At 41.8% G+C, this 21,759-nt stretch overlaps 1 protein-coding gene and 1 pseudogene across 2 annotated transcripts in view, besides 1 other annotated feature; one reads left to right on the top strand and one right to left on the bottom strand.

The window, feature by feature from the left end:
• VPS13D (vacuolar protein sorting 13 homolog D) overlaps window positions 1-21,759 on the bottom strand; it is a 282,018-nt gene that overhangs the window by 97,885 nt on the left and 162,374 nt on the right. For both annotated transcript variants that reach the window (NM_015378.4, NM_018156.4), the window contains 3 exons: window positions 13,833-13,982; window positions 12,459-12,555; window positions 10,190-10,338 (listed from right to left, as the gene is read on the bottom strand). In NM_015378.4, coding sequence (NP_056193.2) covers window positions 10,190-10,338; window positions 12,459-12,555; window positions 13,833-13,982 — 396 coding nt within the window. The remainder of the gene's footprint in view (window positions 1-10,189; window positions 10,339-12,458; window positions 12,556-13,832; window positions 13,983-21,759) is intronic.
• Window positions 4,912-4,995, top strand: LOC124904680 (uncharacterized; annotated as a pseudogene).
• Window positions 8,313-8,607: a silencer, noted in NCBI's record as "tiled region #10571; K562 Repressive non-DNase unmatched - State 14:Gen5'". NCBI's record gives its function as "represses a minimal TATA promoter and a strong SV40 promoter by Sharpr-MPRA in K562 cells {active_cell/tissue: K562}" and the evidence as "EXISTENCE:reporter gene assay evidence [ECO:0000049][PMID:27701403]".

Genomic DNA, 21,759 nt, shown 5'->3' with positions numbered 1-21,759 from the left:
ACATGTGCAAACTACCATGCCCAGCTAATTTTTGTATTTTTTGTAGAGAAGGGTTTTCACCATGTTGCCCAGGCTGGTCTCAAACACCTGGGCTCAAGCAATCCGCCTGCCTTGGCATCCCAAAGTGCTGCGATTACAGCTGTGAACCACTGCTCCCTGCCTAGCTATGTCTTTTGGGGCACATTTATGCATTTTTCTTGGACATATACCTGGGAGTGGAACTGGGTCATAAAGAATGTACATGCACAATCTTAATATATTCTGCCAAACAGTTTTCCAAAGTGGTCAAACCAGTTTATGCTCCATTCAGCAGTCTACAAGATCCCTTGCTATTCTACACCCTCATCAACACTTGGTATAGATCGTTTAAAAAAAAAAAAAAAGATATTCTGGCTAGGAGTGGTGGCTCATGCCTGTAATCCCAGCACTTTGGGAAGCTGAGGTGGGAGGATCGCTTGAGGCCAGAAGTTCAAGACCAGCCTGGGTGAAGAAGTAAGACCTTGTCTCTACAAAAAGTTTAAAAATTAACTGGGCATGGTGGCGTGCGCCTGTAGTCTCAGCCATTCAGGAGGCTGGAGGAGGAGGATCACTTGGACTTTGAAGGTCAAGGCCACACTAAGCTGAGATCATGCCACTGTACTTAGCCTGGGTGACAGAGTAAGACCCTGCCTCACTCTTTCTTTCTCAAAAACAGAAAACAAAGTCTCTGTTGCCCAGGCTGGAGTACAGTGGCGGGATCTTGGCTCACTGCAGCCTGGACCTCCTGGGCTCAAGTGATCCTCCTGCCTCAGCCTCCCCCTACAGGTACATACCACCACGCCCAGCTGATTTTTTTTTTTTTTATTTTGGAGAGACAGGGTCTCACTTTGTTGCTCAACTCCTGGCCTCAAGTGATCCACCCATCTCAGCCTCCCAAAGTGCTGGGATTACCGTGGCTGACCCTGTCACTTAAAACAAACAACGACCAAAAACAAAAACAAACAAACAAACAAAAAAACACCCAGAAAATCTGAACAGTGTGTAATGGTATCTCAGCATAGTTTTGACAGATAAACTGATGGGTGTGTAATGGTACCTCAGCGTAGTCTCTTTTCAGTTGAGAAGTGAGATTAAGCAACTTTTAAATGCATAAGCCATTTGGATATCTTTTTGTGAAGTGCTTATTGAAGTATTTTGCTCATTTTTGTAGTGAGTTCATGTTTTTTATTTCTTACTGCTTTGTAGGAGTTCTTATATATTCTGTATACCAAGTCCTCTGTTGAACAGATGTGTTGCAAATATCTTCTTCCATTCTGTGACTTATCTTACTACTCTTTAAATGGTGTCTTTTAATGATCAGACAGTCTTAATTTTAAGGAAATCTGCCTTATCAATATTTTCTTATATGGTAAGAGCTTTCTGTGTCCTGGTTAAGAAATTTTTGTCTACACCAAGGTCATAAAGATATTCCCACGTTTACTTATACAAGTTTTATTGTTTTACTCTTCACACCTAGATTTTATTTATGCTCCACCTAGAATTTATTTTTATGTACGGTAGGAGGGAGTGGCCAAGATTCATTTTTTTCTGATAAATATTGAACTAAGTAATATTTACTGAAAAGGTCATCCGTTCCACTACCGCAGTATGGCATAAATGCTGTCAAAAGTCACGTGATGGTATTATACATCCATTTCTGGATTCTCTCTTCTGTTTCACTTTGCTCTGCTTTCTACTAATGCCACACTGTCTTAATTACTGTAGTCTTGTAATAATTTCTGAAATCGAATAGTGTAAGCTCTCCCCAACTTTGTACTTTTTCTCCAGGGTTACCTTAGCTGCTCTTTGCGCTTTTCAACTGCAGAGAAATTTTAGAATCAGCTTGTCAATTTGCTTCCAAAAAAACTGCTGGAATTTTCATCAGGACTGTACTGAATCTACAGATCAATTTGAGGAGCAACGACAACTTTACCGAATCTTCCAACTTATCGACATGGTATGTCCCTTCATCTATGTGGGTCTTTAATTTTTCACAATAATGTTTAATTGTTTTCTGTGTAGAGGTCTTATACGTCTTTGGTTGGGTTTATTCTTAGATACTGTGGTAGATTTAAAATGACCACATATTCTTTGCATCTTCTGTCAAGTGGTGAAGTCTATGTTCCCTCCACCTGAATCTTCACTAGCCTTGTGATTTGCTTCAGCCAATAGGATGCGAGAGATATAATAATGTGTGACCTTTGAGCCTGAGCCTCAAGAGAGCTTGGAGCTTCTGCACTGCCTGTTTTGATGCTTCCACCACGTGAAGAAGCTGGGAGTAGCTTCCTTGAAGATGGGAGACCATGTGGAAAGGGGTTCTGCTGACAGCCAGCACCAATCCGCTGGACATGAGACTGAGGTCATCTCATACCATTTAATCGCGTTTAACTGCCAGGTGAGTGCAGCCATATGAACAACCACTGGTGAGACCAGCAGAAGAAACACCCAGCTAGGTCTAGTCCAAATTATTAACCCACAGAATTGTAAACAAATAAGATGGTGGTTGTTTTAAACCACTGCAATTTGGCGTCATTTGTTACACAATAATAGATAATGATACAGTAGTTAATGTTTTCTTTCTCTCCCTCCCTCCCTCCCTCCTCTTCCCTCTCATCTCTCTCTCCTCCTCCCCCTTCTCTCTATCCCTCCCTCCTTCCTTCCTTCCTTCCATTTTTGTAGAGACAGGGTCTCCCTATGATGCCCAGGCTGGCCCTGAACTCCTGGGCTCAAGTGATCCTCCCACCTAGGCCTCCCAAAGTGCTGGGATTACAGGTGTAAGCCACCACACCCAGACCTGTTTTCTTAATAGCCTCCAAATTTTTCTTTTCTCTGTTATTATTGCTGACATGTAGAAATATAACTGTTTTCTATACTGTCTCTAGTGACCTTACTAAATTTACTTATTCTAATAACTAATCTGAAAATACTTTTAGATTTTCTAGTAAACGATCGTGTTTTCTACAAATAACGAACTTTTTATTTTCCTTTCCAGCTCCTATGCCTTTTACTTCTTTTTCAAAAAGATCATCCTTGACTTATTTTACTGGCTGAACTCCCGTGTAACGGTGAAAGAAGTGGTGATAATGGGTATCTTTCCTTTATCTCAAGAAAAAGCTTTTACTATCTCACCAATTAGTATGATGTTTGTTGTAGCTTTTTACCAGATAGACCTAAACAGATGAAAGCAGTTATCTTCTATTTTTAGCTTGCTGAATTTTTACTGTAGATGGATGTTAAAGTTTGTCAAACAGCTTTTATGCATTTTTAAATAATCATATTCTATTTTATCGTGTTGATGTGGTAAAATACCAAATTTATCTGCAAATGTGAAACTGAATGTGCATTCCAGGAAAAAATCCAATTTGGTTATATTAGCCTTCTTACATATTTCTGTTTTTGATTTACTAATATTTTGTTCAGATTTCTTTCTTCTATATTCATGAAAAAGTGCTGGTCTATAATTTTCCCTTATTATTTGATAATTTTTTTAAAAAAATTATAGTTTTCTGGTAAACTTCTTAGATACCTTCATAGTATTTTAAATTCTCTGTCTAAAAATACCAACATCCAGTTTATCTATGGTTCTGTTTCTAGTGTTTGTTTTTTCTCTTGGTCTCATCTCATCTTGGCCTGGTAATTTGTGACTGAATGCAACATTTTGTATGAAAACTTACAGAGACTTTGGATGAGTTTTTAGCTTCTGGTAGGCAGTTAGAGTAAGAAGCATAATGCCTAAATCAACCAGGGTTTGGGTTTTCTCAAGGCTGTGTTTCAGTCTTTATCTAAGTTCTGGTGTGTTTTAGTCCTTATGAGGCCTGGTGTAGTCCTTTAGCAGTCTCAACGAAAACCAATGCCATTCCTCCACTTTTAATCTCCCTAGTACCACAAAACTGCTTAGAAGACTGTTTAAGTTCTTCAGCCTCTTAGCTGCCACTTTTTGCTTGATTTCTCTCAGACTGTGTCACTTAGAAATCATCAAATATCTCAAGAAAGAAAGTACCTCAGATTATTGGGGTTTGTTTTCTGCCTGTCCCTTCTCTGTAAGATATTAGCCCTTCAATTACCAGCTCTCTTAGTAGCAATGAAGTCTAAGTTTTGCTTTGCTAGCCCCATGAGACTGCCAAAAGCTTTACTTGCATTCTCTGCCTGTTGGCAGCTGCTTTCTGCTTGGCTTCTTCACCTTTCTCCCCACACTGCTTACAAATCAGAAAAAGTCTCAAGAATAAAAGCAAAATAAATGTTGGGCTCACCTTACTGAGTTTCTCTCCTCTCATAAATCTTGAACTCTCCAGTCCTGGCTGTTTTGGTAGCTTTCCAATGGCTTCACATGGACACTCCCCAACCCCGCCCCCACGATCTGTCTTTTCTTGAAGTTCTCAACTAGCCTGGGTCTGCTATAAGCTGGTTAACAATCTCTGGATATGGGTCTATTTTCTGATTATATCTTTATTTAAAATGATTGATATTTCAAGGTGTTTACAAGGCATGCCAAATACTCTTCCTTACCGAATATAAAAACACTTTTTCATGCTAATATTACCAGTAAATCTCTGATTCACTTGGAATTTATCCTTACATAAAGTGTCAAGAATAAATCTAATTTTATATTTTTTCTATTGTGATTTAGTCTAATAGCACTATTGAAAAGTCTATATACTCCCCACTGAATTAAAGTCTCTTTATTATATATTAAAATTTCATGTGCAACTTAATGACATTTCTATTCTGTTTTCTTACTTATAATCTTTTTGCATGTGTCTTCTGAGACTGCCTTAAATTATTTTGGAACAAGAATACATTTAATTGAAATTCAATCATATAATGGAAGAAAGGGTGAAATTTTTTAAAACCATAGAGAAGGGAAAACTTTTTTGTGACTCAAAATTCAGATTCAAGACTATGCTTTCAGGGATCATTTCTACAGTTTGTTACTAGAGAATTTCTCTGAACATGTAGTTTTCAAAAAAAAATTAGATTCAAAACAGCAAAAGACTAATAAATTTGACAACATAAAAATAAACAGCTCTTGTATAATTAAACACAAACACACACACACACACGCCAAAAGCAAAGTAAAAAGACAAAAAGCTGAAGAAAAAATACTTGCAACTTTCATCAAAGACATAACTTTTAGAAAGAGCTTCTAAAATTAGAAGAGATAAAAGGCCTGACAGAAAAATAGACAAGTGACATAACCAGACAGTTCACAGAGAAAAATCTGGACCTTTAACATACAGATCAGGAAAAGAAGAAGTAGAATAAACGAAAACAGAAATAGGCAGAGAAGCAACAGAGCAAGAGGAGAACCAGAAAGGACAGATGTCAAGAACAGGGAAGTCAGCAATGTCAAAATGGCAGAGGATGCTACAAAGATAAGGCTAGAGAGAAAGGTCACTGGACTTGGTGCCTTGGGAAGTCACTGATAACCTCCTGCTAAGTAATTTCAGAATATTTTAGAGATTAATAGCAACCTCAAGTTGAGCTGGGCCCAGCGGCTCATGCCTGTAATCCCAGCACTTTGGGAGGCTGAGGTGGGCAGATAACTTGAGCCCAGGAGTTTGAGACCAGCCTGGGCAACATGGTAAAACTCTGTCTCTACAAAAAAATACAAAAATTAGCCAGGCATGGTGGCACGCACCTATAATCCCAGCTACCTGGGATGCTGAGGTGAGAGGATCATCTGAGCCCAGGAGGTTGAGGCTGCAGTAAGCTGTGATCATGCCACTGCACTTCAGCCTGACAGAGTGAGACCCTGTCTTCCCCACCCCGCAAAAAAGTCCAACATCAAGTTAATTCAGCCTAACTCTCCCTCTCTCTCTCTCTCTCTTTGGTATAAATAAAACAAGAAATGTTAAGTGGATGGCCTAAAGTCATATGGCTAGCTACTTGATTTTAGACTTGAATATGTGCATTTTCACAATAGCAACTACCTATTAGGTAGAAAGCATGAAAGCCAGAATGGAGGGTATTATTTCTCCTGAAAAATGTTCTGCTATTCATTCACCCATGCCTCACCCCACCTCATGGTGAGTGATGATAAAGTACGTGAGCAGGCCTTATTTTCCTCATTTCACTGTCGGAGAAACTGAGTGAACGTTCAGTAAGCTCAACTGCTTTGCTTAGAGTCATAAAATAAACACGCTGGGAAAACAGGGTACTGACAATCAGTTCAGCACTCTGTTTTGCCAATACTACTTTGAGCGTTACTTTATTCTCAGAGAAGAGAAAATGAGATCAAAACAAAGGCTTAAGGTAAAAAGCTTTTATACCCCAACTTTGTCCTTGCAACCAAATATTAAAGAAGAACCACACAAAGTAGCAAAGACTTTGAAACCTCTACTGAAATGTCAAAACCTTCATCATAGACACTATTACCTTTCCGAATGACTAAGGTGCTTGGTCTGAATCGAGGAAATATTCTGGCCCTTAAGTAAAAGTTATCCTTACCTAGTCATTTACTGCTTTTGGGACTCCACATTTGAAAAAGCTGAGATACAGCCCAGTGGTATGAATTATTCTGCCACCTTCAGGTTAATCTGGACAGTCAAAGTCGAGATGAGGGAACGAGCCAAACAGGGCTTATTCTTGTAGTAACTAAATGACTAATCAAATACAGTAGTATACAAAGTTGATGCTTATTTACTCAAGCAGCAGACAGTTTCCTGTTATAAAATGGATTTTGGAGAAGGCAATCTTGTGTTCATAAGCTCCTAATAAAAATAGGAAACTGTCTATTTCTACCTCCCCACGCGAAAACTGCTGAAGTCTTCCAGAAACTTCATAGAGTTGAAAGAAGAAATACCTGTCTATATACCATAAGGTCTCAGATCCCAAGCTATTCCCTCGGCCATGTCCTTTCCTTTCTTAGTTTATCCTGCACTAAACAAAACTGTCTGGAATTCATTCTTTAAAGGTTTATTTATGGTACATAGAGACTGTTTATGTGAAGCAGGGTATTTGCCTATTTCCCTCTTGGGACAATGTTTAAAACTACAGGGATATTTCCCTCTCTGGCACTTTCTGAAATACAATTAACAATACTGGATCTTTTTTCCTTTTAACAAATCTGGTTTTTATTTAGGGAGGGGAGGAAAAAAGTAAAGGGTCTGAAGTTTCCCAACAAATTATTTCAAGCCTTTGAGAAGACAGTTTTAGGCTTTTTAAATAGTGTCTTTGTTCGAAACTCCCCCTAACCCCCACCCTCTCACTCTGACCATTAAAATGTGGGTTTTCTTCCAAACTAGATTGCTCAATTAAAGCCCTTCTTTTGTAATACCCCAATGCTCTAAATGGAAAAAGGACTGCTGTAGGCCACCTCATGAAACCGTTTAAAGGCTCCTGGCCTCTTTTGATCTTTAAAAAAAGCCAAAAACACGTATAAACTACCTGGCATTTTCAGTATCACTCGGCCACTTTCTAACACGCAAACTTGAGAGAATGGAGAGAATGGGGAGTCAGGCAGGAATGCTGTGCTTTGGTCTCTGCATTTGTGAAATGGGACTATTATCTCCCCATTCTTCCACCGCAGAGTAAGGAATCCAATTGAGATAGCAGATGTGAAACTGCTTTCAGTCCTTTTGAACAGACACTATATCTGGCAACAATGTACCCTCAGTGTAAACCTGAAGAGACTTCCCTCTGAGATTTCTGACAGTCTCACTTCTGGCCTGGAGTCAGAAGAATCAAGATAATTATTCCTTCAATACCAAAGACGTGGTTTACCTTTTAGTCAGGCTCTCGTGACTCCTGTTCAGGGACAGGACTCCATTTTCTAAGCACACACTTTTAGCCATTATATATTCATCTAAAAGAGCATAGTACCCTTCTAAGAGCTACTAATAAAGGCATATTACTCTGTTAGAAAACTCTTTGAATAAATGACATTATTTTATGAGTCCCAGACTCCACTAGGAGACTCAAGACACAGTAAAATGTGACTCCCACAAGCTGAGAATTTAACTCTTTAGTCCCAATTCCCCGCACCCTGCTGGAAACATTAACTTACTACACTCGGCGTGCCCCCTACACACCTCATCACATGGCTGCTCCATGTAATTGTTTCACAATGATTTGAAAAATGCCCTGAAAATGTTCCTTCAATTCAGTGCCAGATGAAACATTCAACTGAAATGATTTCGTTGATTGTATGCCGAGCGCACACACAACCATCATGTAACTGGGGGGGGCTGGAGCTACTTCAACTGCAGAAAATCAGACTGCTTTTCTCAGTCTGGGGAGTTTTCTGCTGGGAGCAATTTGAAGGGAATAGTGAGGTGTCTGTGTTTCTTAGTAAGATGATTTTAAAAACAAGAAGTCCTCAACCCTCAGGAAATGCTTCACATTGGTTTGCTGGGCAAGTGCCAAGTGCTCTGGGTGAATATATACTTTATCAAACAAACCCATTCCAAAGGTCACACAAGTCAAGTGGATACTTGTGGATATTAACAAGATAGTGGTTTTCCCATGGTTTTCCCCTCACTCCCATGCTAACTATAAGTATCTTTAATCTCCTGGGAAACATGAAATTAAAGCGAATGAAGCAGACAGGGCAGTGAGTGAAGGGCACGCTGCACTCTTCCAGAGATGGCTGCAAGAGCCATTCCTGCTCCAGGTCCCCACCAGCACTCCCTGTGGCTTGGCCCCAGTTTGCCACCCCAATGCTGTCACCCTTGCCCTACCCTTACCCAAATGTGATCTGATGTTGACCAGACTACTGTCTCATTACCTGTGTGTCAATTTTAGAAGCTGTGAGTTGGCAGACACGGCCACATGAGGCCCACACATGTGTTTTGTTAGGCCCACAAGGTTTAAAAAAACCAAAAAACTTGAATTGGTTGCCAATGTTTAAAAACCAGGAGATTCCACATAAAAATCCAGATTTCCGGTTTCTCTTTAAAAATCTGAAGATCTGGCAACACCAGGTTCACATTCCTCCATGACAGCAAGCGGCTGGAGCGGGTTGTGGCGGCCCCTTCAGATGGAGCAGGCACTCCTGGTTGGGCAGACACGACACCACCCCGGTGTGCAGCTCCACTCGCTGCATCGCCAGCGCAGCTCCTGCGGGCATCTACGTTAGGACCCTAGACTTACTTCTTATCTGCTCATATCTCTAGCTGTTTCTGCGCAGCAAGATGACTATCTTGTAGCATCTTAGAGGAGGCAGCATGGGGCAGTGAGAAGAGTCCTCGACTGGTGGTTAGTAGGAAGATGGAGGTCTTGAGTATTATCTTTAAGTGCAACAGAATGAAAAACCAGAACCAATGGGTCCAAGCTGCAGGGGGCTGACTTTGACTCAAACTAAGGAAAGACTTTCTAACACCCCTGGATCCACTCCTGCTCCTATCACTTCCTAGCCACACAGCCTTGACTGACAAAACACTTTGAACTTCAATTTCCCTGTCTACCAAGCAAGTACATCACTGAGGACTCACAGGTCTAAAATTCTCTGGTTCCTTATGTTCTATGGGGAAGCATAGTATAGTGAAAAAAAAAATAGACTTTAGAGTCAGACAGGCTTGGATTTGAATCCCAGCTTTCTTCCTTGATGAAGATAAACTTTATGGCTGAAAATGAAGACGGTGTTCAGGCTGTGTCTAGTAAGTAGTCATCAAGATGGTCTAAGGGCTTCATCCTGATGTGGTGGTAGAGAAGGCCATATCCCAGTGGGTAAGTGGGCTGAGTCGACTTTAAACACTCCTAGTAGACAATCCTAGTGACAATCATTCAAAAAGAGGTGGATACTTAGGAAGAGAGAAGTAGGAAGGTGAGCAGGCCTCGGGCACAAAAAGAAGATGCTGTCTTGACTGCTTTTTCTCTTGATCCTGGACACAACTTTAGGAAAAAGGCTTTTATCTCACTGAGGTAAGCCAGGAGCTAAACAGAGAGCAAATGGGTTTTACAGAATTATCTGTGAATCTCTTGAGCTACTCCTTGATCTTCGGCAATGTCGTATTTAAGTTTCGTTTTTTTTTTTTTTTTAAAGACAAATACACGTAAGTCAATAAACCTTCTGAAAAAGGAAATCTGTAAAAATAAAATGTCTGCTATGAATGATGATGAGGGACAAAAAAAAAAGCACACACACACACAACAACAAACAACAAATAGTAAACACACTCATTCTTTTCCAAGGAAAAATCATCTAAAAAAATTTACCCAAATAGCAGCTCACCTTAAGATCCAATGGGAGCTTGTTGGAGGTGAACACACTTAGCTTGATCTGAGGAATGCTGATTTTGAGATTTTCAAAGTAGTATCGAATTGGTGTTCCACCTTGCTCAGCTGTCTTTTCATGGAGGTTTTCATCATATTTTTCCACCTCTGGTACAAAGGAAGAATTAAAAAAACAAAAAAGAATTTCTTAGTCTCATGATCCACAGAATCCACTTTGTATTCACATAGAAAAAAATCATCAAAAAAAGGAAACCATCTATCACTCTCGATTTAGTTTGTGAGGGTACAGTGACGTGTATAGTATTCTGATGCCATTCTTTGTAAGAGTAGATCTGTTTTGTGTTGTTTATCAAAAAAGAAGACTAGCATGTTAACTTGTGACTCCATACCATCCAACAGATGTCATCTTTGGAAAAAATCATCCAGATGGAAAAGCCAAAGGCCACAGGTGTATTTGTTAGCAATGTTATTATCAATGACCCAGATTATCTAAATTTATTTTCCTAGGATCATATCCAAATAAGGTCTTGGAGTGCAGTGTAACTGAATCAAAATGGATATCACCAATTCACGAATCTGAGTGAAACATAAATGCCTGAAAAAGAATCAGGCTGCGGGCTGTAAAGACGTAATATCACTACAAGCAGCGCCCTGTCTCCCAAATGGTGGACATCCATTTAAATAGGACAATCAAGGCAGATTTTTTACTTGCCATCTCATGAAATAAAAGGAGTAGCAGGAGTAGCATGGGCTACAACACAGCAATGTGCTCTTTGCACTTGATGCTGTATGCACATCCAACTGGGCAGCATATTTTGCCTTGGCTTCACGTGCCTTGGAAATAAAACCAGAGAGCTGGCACATACCTACTTATCAAACACATTTATGTTGTAAGCTATCATCAGTGCTACTTACAGAAAAATGATACTGCAACAGAGACCTGCCCATTTATGCTGAGGAAGCAGAAACAGCTACAGACAGGATGGCAGGTACTTTAAGGAGCAGCAGGACTGGGCTTGTGGACCTGAGGGCTGCATGCTGCCTCTGTCCCATCCCATCAGCACTGGTGACAACATACCAAAAACATGGGAAGCAACCCCTTAGTCAGCTCCCACTTCAGTGAAAGGCAGGCAAGGATTTTACAAAAGTCTAAATCCATGCTTGAGGAGAAATTTATTACAGCAACTTATAAGAAAATTTACAAGAAAAGCATGTCGAATCAAATTTAAAGTAAAACTTCCCAGGAAGGTACCAAAACAGAATGGATACCTGGCAGGCAGGCTCCCAAGTGGCTGTCTGAATACAAATAAACACTGGCGTTCCAACCCAAAGTGGAAAACACAGCATTAAACAGACAGGATCTTGCTCTTGATCCCAAATACTCTTAAAGCTTAAATTCTAAATCTGGGATAAAAAGAACAAAAATATTTTTCTTGCATTGTGTGTATGTATGTACATGTGTACACACATTCCCAGTGATTTTTTTCTCTAGCCAACATGGGCAGATAAACATAAAAGCCTCTTTCTTATCATTTCTTCAGGCTCAATATTTAGTTTAGGCTTCAAAAGACTGAGTATTACTGACTTTTTTCTAAGCTGTATACACAGCCATGAAAAGCCCATCTAAGAGCGGAAGGAAAGGCTGTGATGAGGAATCGAAAAGAAGCAACAGCTCAATTATTTCTGTAGCACTGCTGGAAACCTGGGCTTTTCAATAGCTTATCTTACTCTCTTCTACAAAGAAGAGAGTAAATAAGCAGAAACCTTTGTAATTACAAAAAGGCACAAGGGTTTGGATGTCAAAAGTTAATGAATTGAGGCTAGCCAATTTTATTTTCTCAACTAAACCAAAGGAACTGCCAAAGGGATTTCTGATTCTTGGCCTGGAGTCTGTTTAAGAAACAAAGGTTAGGAAACAAAATGGTTTGCTAAATGACTAATATCATTTCTGTCATCCTAGAGCAGATGAATCAAAAAAATGCAAAGCAAAGAGGAATAGTATACTGCTTCCCAAAGGTATACCACTGGATACTCCAGGATTCCAGAAGACCCTCTGAATGGCTCCTTTAGTTCACAGAGATAACTCAGACAACAAGTAATACTTTGAAAAAGCACAACTGAAACACAAGCCTTAGCTTCCTAGCTCAGGCTGAGATGTGGAAAGGGAGCCTATCAGACACCAAGGGGCTACCTATTTTTACAAACAGACTCAAAAATACCATCTTTGGACCAATTCCCAAACACAGACATAGAACATTCAACATTACCTGATTCTGCTTGATCGTAGCCAAAGAAACTTAGCAGCTTGAGGAGCAGTTTCTCCTCAATTTGCACTGTGAATCTCTGAGCTGTGATCATCAGATGCTAGAGATAAAGAAATTCTGATTTAAAGTGTGAACACCAGAAGGAACATTCATCTGTGCTATTAAGAAGGCCTCAATGACATGGTATGCTTTCATTAATCATGTGGCTTTATAACTATAATGCCAAATTATTTCTGGGTTATCTCTCTCTATATTGTTATGATTAACTAAAAACTCCAAAAGATGTTTAATAGATGGTTTGCCATTCTATTGTTTGGTTCCCAGGCAATCTGGGCCTCATTAGTCAGGATTCCAGCCTCAGATGCACTGTGGTGGATGAACTTTATGGTGTGTGCTCAGATGGATGGCAGCTAATTTAAGGAGCAGCATGGCTGGGCTTGTGGATCCGAGGGCTACAGGCAGGCTTGGTCCCATCAGCACTGGTGATAAAGGACCAGAAATATGGGAAGCAACCCCTGGTTGGCTCCCACTTTTCCAGAGTTTGCTGCTGGAACAGCTAGCTTGTGCGTGGAGACTCCTCCAAGAAAGAAAGTTTATCATTTGTAACTATCTGCTTTTGGTAAACAGTGTGGTAACTTAGGTAGCAGCACGTCTGTCTCAAGGTCAGACCCATCATAGCCCTTTCCCAATATTTCAGGGTTATTGTGTGTGTGTGTGTGTGTGTGTGTGTGTGTGTGTGTGTGTGCGCGCGCGCAGGTGCACATCTCACTCTATCACCCAGGCTGGAGTGCAGTGGTGTGATCGTGACTCGCTGTAGCCTCGAACTCCCAGGCTCAGGACCTCCCACCTCAGCCTGCTAAGTAAGTAGTTGGGACCACAGGTGCTTGCCACCAGGTCCAGCTAATTTTTGTATTTTTTATAGAAATGAGGTTTCACCATGTTTCCCAAGCTGGTCTCAAACTCCTGGGCTCAAGAGATCCACCCGCCTTAGCCTCCCAAAGTGCTGAGATTACAGGTGAGAGCCAGTGAGCCCAGCTGGGGTTATTCTATTTTTAATAATAGATCTGGATCATGCCTGGTCCTGACCTATCTAGAAGATGCTATACTTTCCTACAGTGACTTCACTCTGATGAATATGGACTCTGGCCTATATGGACTCAGTACCATCAAACTGTCACCTGCAAGGTCACTGAAAACACAACTGAGAAGGAGGAGTTCCTGTCAATTCCTCCAAACAATCTATTATGTCACATGTGGTTTAACCCTGCAGAGCTATTCCCATCAGCACCCGGCACTGCTGCTCTGAGACTTGGCTGTGAGAGAACAAATCAACGTTCCAGCATGGCATCAACCCACCAGCCTCCTCCACCAGCCCACCTTGTAGATGTTGGTCAGTGCACTCTTACTGGGGAACTTCACTGCGTTGACTTGCACAGCTGGGCCGGTCTCGATGACCTCATTCTCATTGCTCAGGGGAGTCACATAGAGCATGAAGGGCTGCGTGGTACCAATGAGCTGATTGTCCACCTACGGCCATGGAAAGGTAGCAAAGCAAAAACAAAAACAGACCAGTGGCTCAGTTTTCATTTTTACGCTTGAGTGGGGCCTCATAATGCGCAGGTTGCTCAGAAAGTACCCTTGTCATTTCACTCGATCTCAATAGCAGTTCACAAAAGGGCAGTCATAATAAAGTAAGCAGTCATAATAACAGATGCTAAATTTCATTAGGGGAGTGCTTTTCTAAGAGAATAGGTTTTGTTTTCTCACCTCAAAAAAATAAGTATGTGAGGCAATACATATATTAGCTCAATTTAGCCATTCCACAACATAAAAATATTTCCAAACATCATGTTGTACACGATGAATATATACATATTTTTTTGTTTTTCTGAGACAGTTTCACTCTTGTTGCCCAGGTTGAAGTGCAGTGGCGGAATCTTGGCTCACTGCAACCTCTGCCTCCTGGATTCAAGCGATTCTCCTGCCTCAGCCTCCTGAGTAGCTGGGATTACAGGCATGCACCACTATGCCCGGCTAATTTTATATTTTTAGTAGAGACGGGGTTTCTCCATGTTGGTCAGGTTGGTCTTGAACTCCTGACCTCAGGTGATCTGCCCACCTTGGCCTCCCAAAGGGCTGGGATTACAGGCGTGAGCCACCGCACTCAGCCAACTATACACAATTTTTATTCATTGGTTAAAAAATCAACTACTGGCCAGGCGCAGTGGCTCACACCTGTAATCCCAGCACTTTGGGAGGTTGCGGCAGGCGGATCACGAGGTCAGGAGTTTGAGACCAGCCTGGCCAACATGATGAAACCCCGTCTCTACTACAAATACAAAAATTAGCTGGACGTGGTCGTGGGCCCCTGTAATCCCAGCTACTCAGGAGGCTGAGGCAGGAGAATCACTTGAACCCAGGAAGCAGAGGTTGCAGTGAGCCGAGATAGCGCCACTGCACTCCAGCCTGGGTGACAGAGAGAGACTCCGTCTCAAAAAAAAAAAAAAAATCAACTATTTGAAAAAAGTAATTTTTTAAGTCCACAACCTGCTGAATGAAACAAAAAATTTAATTAAAAAAATAAAACAGGTGATACTATGTGCGAAGCTCCATGCTAGCCACTTCATATGCATGATCCCAAGTCACATCATACCTGTAACGCTGGTGGTTAAACTAAGGGTTTGCTGCCATCCTTATGACAACTTCATGAGCTCTGTCCTTATATCACAGAGGAAGAAGCTGAGAAGAGAGGCCCTTGCTTCAGGTCACACTGCTGGTCAGTGGCAAAACTAGAACTTGAATCTCGGTCTGTCTGACCCCAAGGCCAGCACTCCTAAACACTATGCTATCGATGCTTCTCTCTTGCTCCAAATTCCTTCAAGACAATTTAAATTAGAGAACCAGGAGCTCAAATGGCTACCAAATTGTAACAGTTTCCTCTACTAAGGTCAACTCCCTTCTCGGGAACGAAACGATTAAGTCAGCGGCATTAGGGTTGACTCTATTTACACAGCCCTGATCAGTATCAGTGCCATCACAGAGGACACTTGCCACACTCAGACATGCATGGATGTCTAGAGGCTCCTTGCAGGAAGCAGCCATCTTCCTGTTCTGTCTCACATCGAAGTTCACCACCAGGAAGAGGAAAGAGGACAGACCATCTTTTTGGGTACCCCTAAGAGACCATCTGCAGGTACTTTCCACACACCCCCTATCATATCACTTCCTAAACCCCTAAAGGCTAGGTATTATTCCTCCTCATTTTACAAACAAGTAGACAGAAGCTTAATGAAGTTAAATTATGTTGGCAACAGAACGAGACTCCGTCTCAAAAAAAAAAAAAAGAAAAAAAAGTTAAACTACTTGCCCTCATTCGCACAGCTTGTAAGTGGAAGAGGTGGGATACAAATGCAGAGATTTCTGGCACCGAATCCTCTGACCTCTCCATTGTATTGCAGGGATTTCCAAATAGACATTTCTGTACAACTGGAAATGACTTTTCTTCTGTTTGTTCTCAGGGCAGGGATAAGGGCAAGAGACTTGGAGTATTTTTTCCTACTTCCATTCCTTCCTCCTACAATGTATTCTCTATATAGCAGCCAAAGTGATCTTTCAGTAAACTATAAATCGAGTCATACACACCCTTCCTTTACACTATTCAGTGGTTTCCCTTTCTCTTAGGATAAACCAGACTTCTCACCACAGCCTCTAAGGCCTGCATGAACTGGCACCAAATTCTCCAGCTTCATCACACACCACTCTTTCAGGTTCCCTACCATCCTCACCTGAGCCTCCTTATTGTTTCTAAAATGTGGGCAAGTCCTTCCTTCCTCAGGGTCTCTGAATTGCCTGAAATGGTTTCTAGTGACCATCTCTATGGTTTGCTCATTCTATTCCTCCAAGTTTCAGTTCAGCTCTCATTTCCTCAGGAAGATCTTCCTGAGCCACTTTTTCTAAAGTAGCACTTTATCTAAAGTAGCTATTCTTTACAGCAGTTATCACAGAATGTCATTATTCATTTGCTTGCCTGCCTGCATATTTATTGGCAGACTTTCTCTCTAGGCTGTTGGCTCAAGAGCAAAGCCTGCATTTTTGAAGTCATAGCCATATCTCCAGAACCTAGTACAGTGTCGGGCACACACTTGATGCTCAGTAAGAATGGACTGAATGAATGAATCATTACCTATCTCATCCAAATATGAAATGGCAATAAAGGGCTCGACCATATTGTCTTCTCCTTTGTTCTTTCACTAAACACATCTGACACAAGGCGTCGTAACTGAGAATTACTAACTCTACCTAGTTTTATTCTCCTAATTAGATCGGATGCTGCCTAAGGAGAGGATCTCTATTTTCTATTTTTAAAAATTCCTTCTTGCAGCACTGTAACCACAGTAAAGTACAAACCTGATTATTTTCTATGATTTGCAGCATACATCACATAAAGAGGTATTATAGGAAAAAACAACTTTTTGGCCAGGCGTGGTGGCTCACGCCTGTAATCCCAGCACTCTGCGAGGCCAAGGTGTGCAGATCACCTGAGGTCAGGAGTTCAAGACCAGCCTGGCCAACATGGCGAAACCCCATCTCTACTAAAAACTACGAAAATTGCTGGGCGTGGTGGCGGGCACCTGTAATCCCATCTATTTGGGAGGCTGAAGCTGGAGGATCACTTGAACCTGGGAGGCGGAGGTTGCAGTAAGCAGAGATCGTACCACTGCACTCCAGCCTGGGCGACAGAGTGAGACTCCATCTCAAAATAAACAAACAAATAAACAAACAAACAACTTTTTAAAGTAAAGAATAAAGTTAAGGAAACTAATGAACAGCAAATGGTTCCTTGAATTGTCTCTGTAAGGTCGAAAAAAGGAGGACAAGGAAAAATAGCTGCAAGATATTAACTTTCTATCTGTGCACAAATAAATAGGATACGATTAGCCTGAATTCTCTGTTATTCGTGATATATAATAAAAGAAAAATTTCTTCTGAAAAGAGGTTCTGGCCTCGACAATCTGGATGGAATCGCATGACATGTTAAGGGAGAGAAGGAGCCCCAGTCATGGGAGACACATTGCACACACTCCCAGTAAGGATGTAGTTCGTCCATTTGGGAAAAAGAACCACAGTCTGGGGCTTTGGATTCTTCTTCTGGAAATGTCTACCAGGAACTAGTTTCCTGAACATATTTAAACTTTGATGAAGCTTATAAAGGAAAAGCGTTCCAAGTATGATGTTACAAACAGATAGAAGTTGTTCTGATAGCACACTAACAGTACTCTGCCAAAAATTGTAAAGGTCGACTTTTTCAGAACTCCGAAAGTTAATAAAAAACTTGCGACAATCTAAGGAGCATTTACTCAAGAAAACAAGCTGAAACTCAGTGAGAACAGCGAGCTCTGTGGCATTTTAATTTGTCCTATTCTCTTCACCCCTACCCCAGCTCCACAGTAGCCTTGAAAACCAACGGCCCTACAGTCACACTGCAAACAAAGCAGTCCTAGCAGACACTCCAGCAGCCAGAAGGAATTTGCAGCTCCCCCAGGAGTCCCATCCCCAGACTTGTCAGTATTTGGCTTGTCTGGCATCTCTCTCTTTCCTGATATTAATAATCTATGTCTTCTCTTTTTCTCCTGCTCAGACTGGTTAGAGGCTTATTAATTTTATTGATCTTAAAGAACTATATATATATATATATATATATATATATATATCTCCTATTAGTTCTATCCCTCTAAGAGAACCCTGACTAATACAGATTTTGGTACCAGGTGTGGTTCTAGAGGAACAGAATATTAAGGATGGAGTTCTTTCATTGGCTTTGGGGTTTCTGGAGTTGGCTGCTGAATATGATTAGCCCCCCAAAAAATTGCTAAGGACTCTACCTCTAATAGTATGGAGAATGCTGATAGTCCTTGGCGTGAACCGTTTGGAGAATTATGCAAAATAAATGCATTTGACACTCCTGATTCACCGCTCATGAGAGGCAAGGATTTTAGTGACTCTATACATAATACCTTTGACCATATGTAGAAAACCAAGTAACATAATGAAGCTGGTTGGTTGCTCCTAAGTTCAGTGGACAAAGTAATGAAAGAAAATGATGAACTCAGGGATTCTGTCTCCCAGCTTCAGAAGCAGATACTGAGCCTCAAATCTGCTAAGATTGCCCTAAGTGAGAGTCTTATCTCCTGCAGAGAAAGAGCTGAAATTGTGGAAAAACAGACACAAGCTCTTGTCATGCAAGTGGCTGACCTGCAATGAAAGATGCACGCCGAAAGATGCACACACAGCCTCACCAGATGTCTGCTGTTAAAGTGAGGGCAATGATTGGAAAAGAATGGGACCCTGCAACTTGGAATGGGGATGTGTGGGAGGACCCTGATGAAACTCGGGGAAACTGAGTTTGTAAACTCTGATGAGCCTTTTTTGCCAGAAGGATGAGCTTCCCCATCCCCAGTAGTGGCAACATCTCCTCAACCCATGCTGTCATCAGCTTTCCACCTTTGTCTGAGGAGATGAATCCTATGCTGCCTAAGGCAACAGTGATGACCTCTCTTGAGGCAGCTGCCAGGCAAAGTAATGTTGATTCTCCTCAGGAGTCACCCCCAACACCCCTGTTTGCTTCTAGACCTAAAGTCCCGGCAGGCCCCTAGATGTGAGGTTGAGAGTGTGACTCACGAGGAGGTGTACTACACTCGAAAAGAACTGTTTGAGTTCTCTAATTTATATAGAAAGAAATCTGGAGAACAGATACGGGAATGGATATTAAGGGTATGGGATAATAGTGGAAGGAACATAGGGTTGGATCAGGATTTATTGATCTGGGCCCACTAAGTAGGCATTCTGCTTTTAATGTTGCAGCTTGGAGAGGTAAAAAAGGTTCTAATAGTTTATTTACTTGGTTAGCTGAAATATGGATTAAAAGATGGCCCACCGTGAGAGAGGTGGAAATGTGTGATCTCCTTTGGTTTAACGTACAGGAAGGGATCCAAAGGATTAGGGAGACTGGGATGGTGGAGTGGATTAGCCACTTCAGACCTACTCATCCCAGCTGGGAGGGTCCAGAAGATATATCCTTGACCAATGCCTTGCGGAACAGATTTGTAAGGGCAGCACCTGCATCTTTGAAGAGCCCTGTAATTGCTTTTCTCTGTATGTCAGATCTAACGGTGGGAACAGCAATCATTAGCTACAAAATTTAAACACAATGGGGATAACTGGATCCCGAGGTGGCAGGTTGCCAAGTGGCAGCACTCAATCGTCAAAGGCAAGGTGGGCATAGCTACCATAATGCACAGCAGAGGCAAAGTGGCAATCAGAATAGTCTGACTCATGTAGAGCTCTGGCACTGGCTAATTAATCATGGTGTTCCTAGAAGCGAAATTAATAGGAAGCCTGCTGCATTCCTACTTAATTTATACAAGCAGAAAACTTCTAGGTTGAATGGACAAAAAACTAGTTTGAATTATAAAAACAGAGAATCATGGCCCCTCAGTCAATTTCTAGACTTGAGCCAGTTTACAGACCCAGAACCCCTTGAATGAAGGGGAGGCCGGATCCCCTTGAGGAAGGACCCCACTACATTGCCGACAATTTACGCAGTGAATCTTTCTCCCATCCTTCCCAAGGAGACCTCCAGCCTTTTACCAGGGTAACTGTGCACTGGGGAAAGGGAAAGGATCAGACATTTCGCGGATACAGGACACTGGCTCTGAGCTGACGTTGATTTCAGGGGACCCAAAATGTCATTGTTGCCCTCCAGTTAAAGTAGGGGCTTATGGAGGTCAAGTAATTAATGGAGTTTTAGCTCAGGTCTGACTTACAGTGGGTCCAGTGGGTCCCCAGACTCATCCTGTGGTCATGTCACCAGTGCCAGAATGCATAATTGGCATAGATATACTTAACAGCTGGCAGAACCCCCACATTGGCTCCTTGACTGGTAGGGTGAGGGCTAGTATGGTGGGAAAGGCCAAATGGAAGCCCTTAGAGCTGCCTCTACCTAGAAAAATAGTAAACCAAAAACAGTATCACATCCCTGGAGGGATTGTGGAGATTAGTGCCACTTGAAAGATGCAGGGGTGGTGATTCCCACCACATCCTTGTTCAACTCTTCCATTTGGCCCGTGCAGAAGACAGATGGATCTTGGAGAATAACAGTGGATTATCGTAAGCTTAACCAAATGGTGACTCCAATTGCAGCTGCTGTACCAGATGTGGGGTTTCATTGCTTGAGCAAATTAACACATCTCCTGGTACCTGGTATGCAGCCACTGACTTGGCAAATGCCTTTTTCTCCATTCCTGTCCACAAGGCCTACCAGAAGCAATTTGCCTTCAGCTGGCAAAGCTAGCAATATACCTTTACTGTCCTAACCGCAGGGGTATATCAACTCTCCAGGTTTGTGTCATAATCTTATTTGGAGAGACCTTGATTGCTTTTTGCTTCCGCAAAATATCACACTGGTCCATTACACTGATGACATTATGCAGATTGGATCCAGTGAGCAAGAAGTAGCAAACACACTGGACTTATTGGTGAGACATTTGCGTGCCAGAGGATAGGAAATAAATCCGACTAAAATTCAGGGAACTTCTACCTCAGCAAAATTTCTAGGGATCTAGTGGTGTGTGGCCTGCCAAGACATTCCTTCTAAGTTAACGGTGTTGCTGCGTTTGGTCCCTCCTACAACCAAGAAAGAGTTACAATGCCTAGTGGGCCTATTTGGATTTTGGAGGCAACACATTCCTCATTTGGGTGTATTACTCCGGCCCATTTATTAAGTGACCCGAAAGGCTGCCAGTTTTGAGGGGTCCAGAATGGGAGAAGACTCTGCAACAGGTCCAGGCTGCTGTGCAAGCTGCTCTGCCATCTGGGCCATATGACCCAGCAGATCCAATGGTGCTTGAGGTGTCAGTGGCAGATAGGGATGCTGTTTGGAGCCTTTGGCAGGCCCCCATAGGTGAATCACAGCAGAGGCCTCTAGGATTTTGGAGGAAGGCCCTGCCATCTTCTGCAGATAACTACTGTCCTTTTGAGAGACAGCTCTTGGCCTGTTACTGGGCTTTGGTGGAAAATGAACATCTGACTATGGGTCATCAAGTCACCACGCAACCTGAACTGCCCATCCTGAACTGTGTGCTTTCTTTTTTTTTTTTTTTTTTTAACATTTATACAATAATATTATTTTAATCAAGAATTTCTTAAAATTTCATCACGGACTTTTTTTTTTTGAGAGAGTCTTGCTCTTGTTGCCCAGGCTGGAGTGTAAAGGAGTGGTCTCGGCTCACTGCAACCTCCACCTCCC

The sequence above is a fragment of the Homo sapiens genome, chromosome 1 (assembly GCF_000001405.40).
Source record: "Homo sapiens chromosome 1, GRCh38.p14 Primary Assembly".
In the NCBI taxonomy this organism is placed as follows: Eukaryota; Metazoa; Chordata; class Mammalia; order Primates; family Hominidae; genus Homo; species Homo sapiens.
Note: the sequence above shows the minus strand (reverse complement) of the source record. Positions and strands in the feature narration are given on the sequence as shown.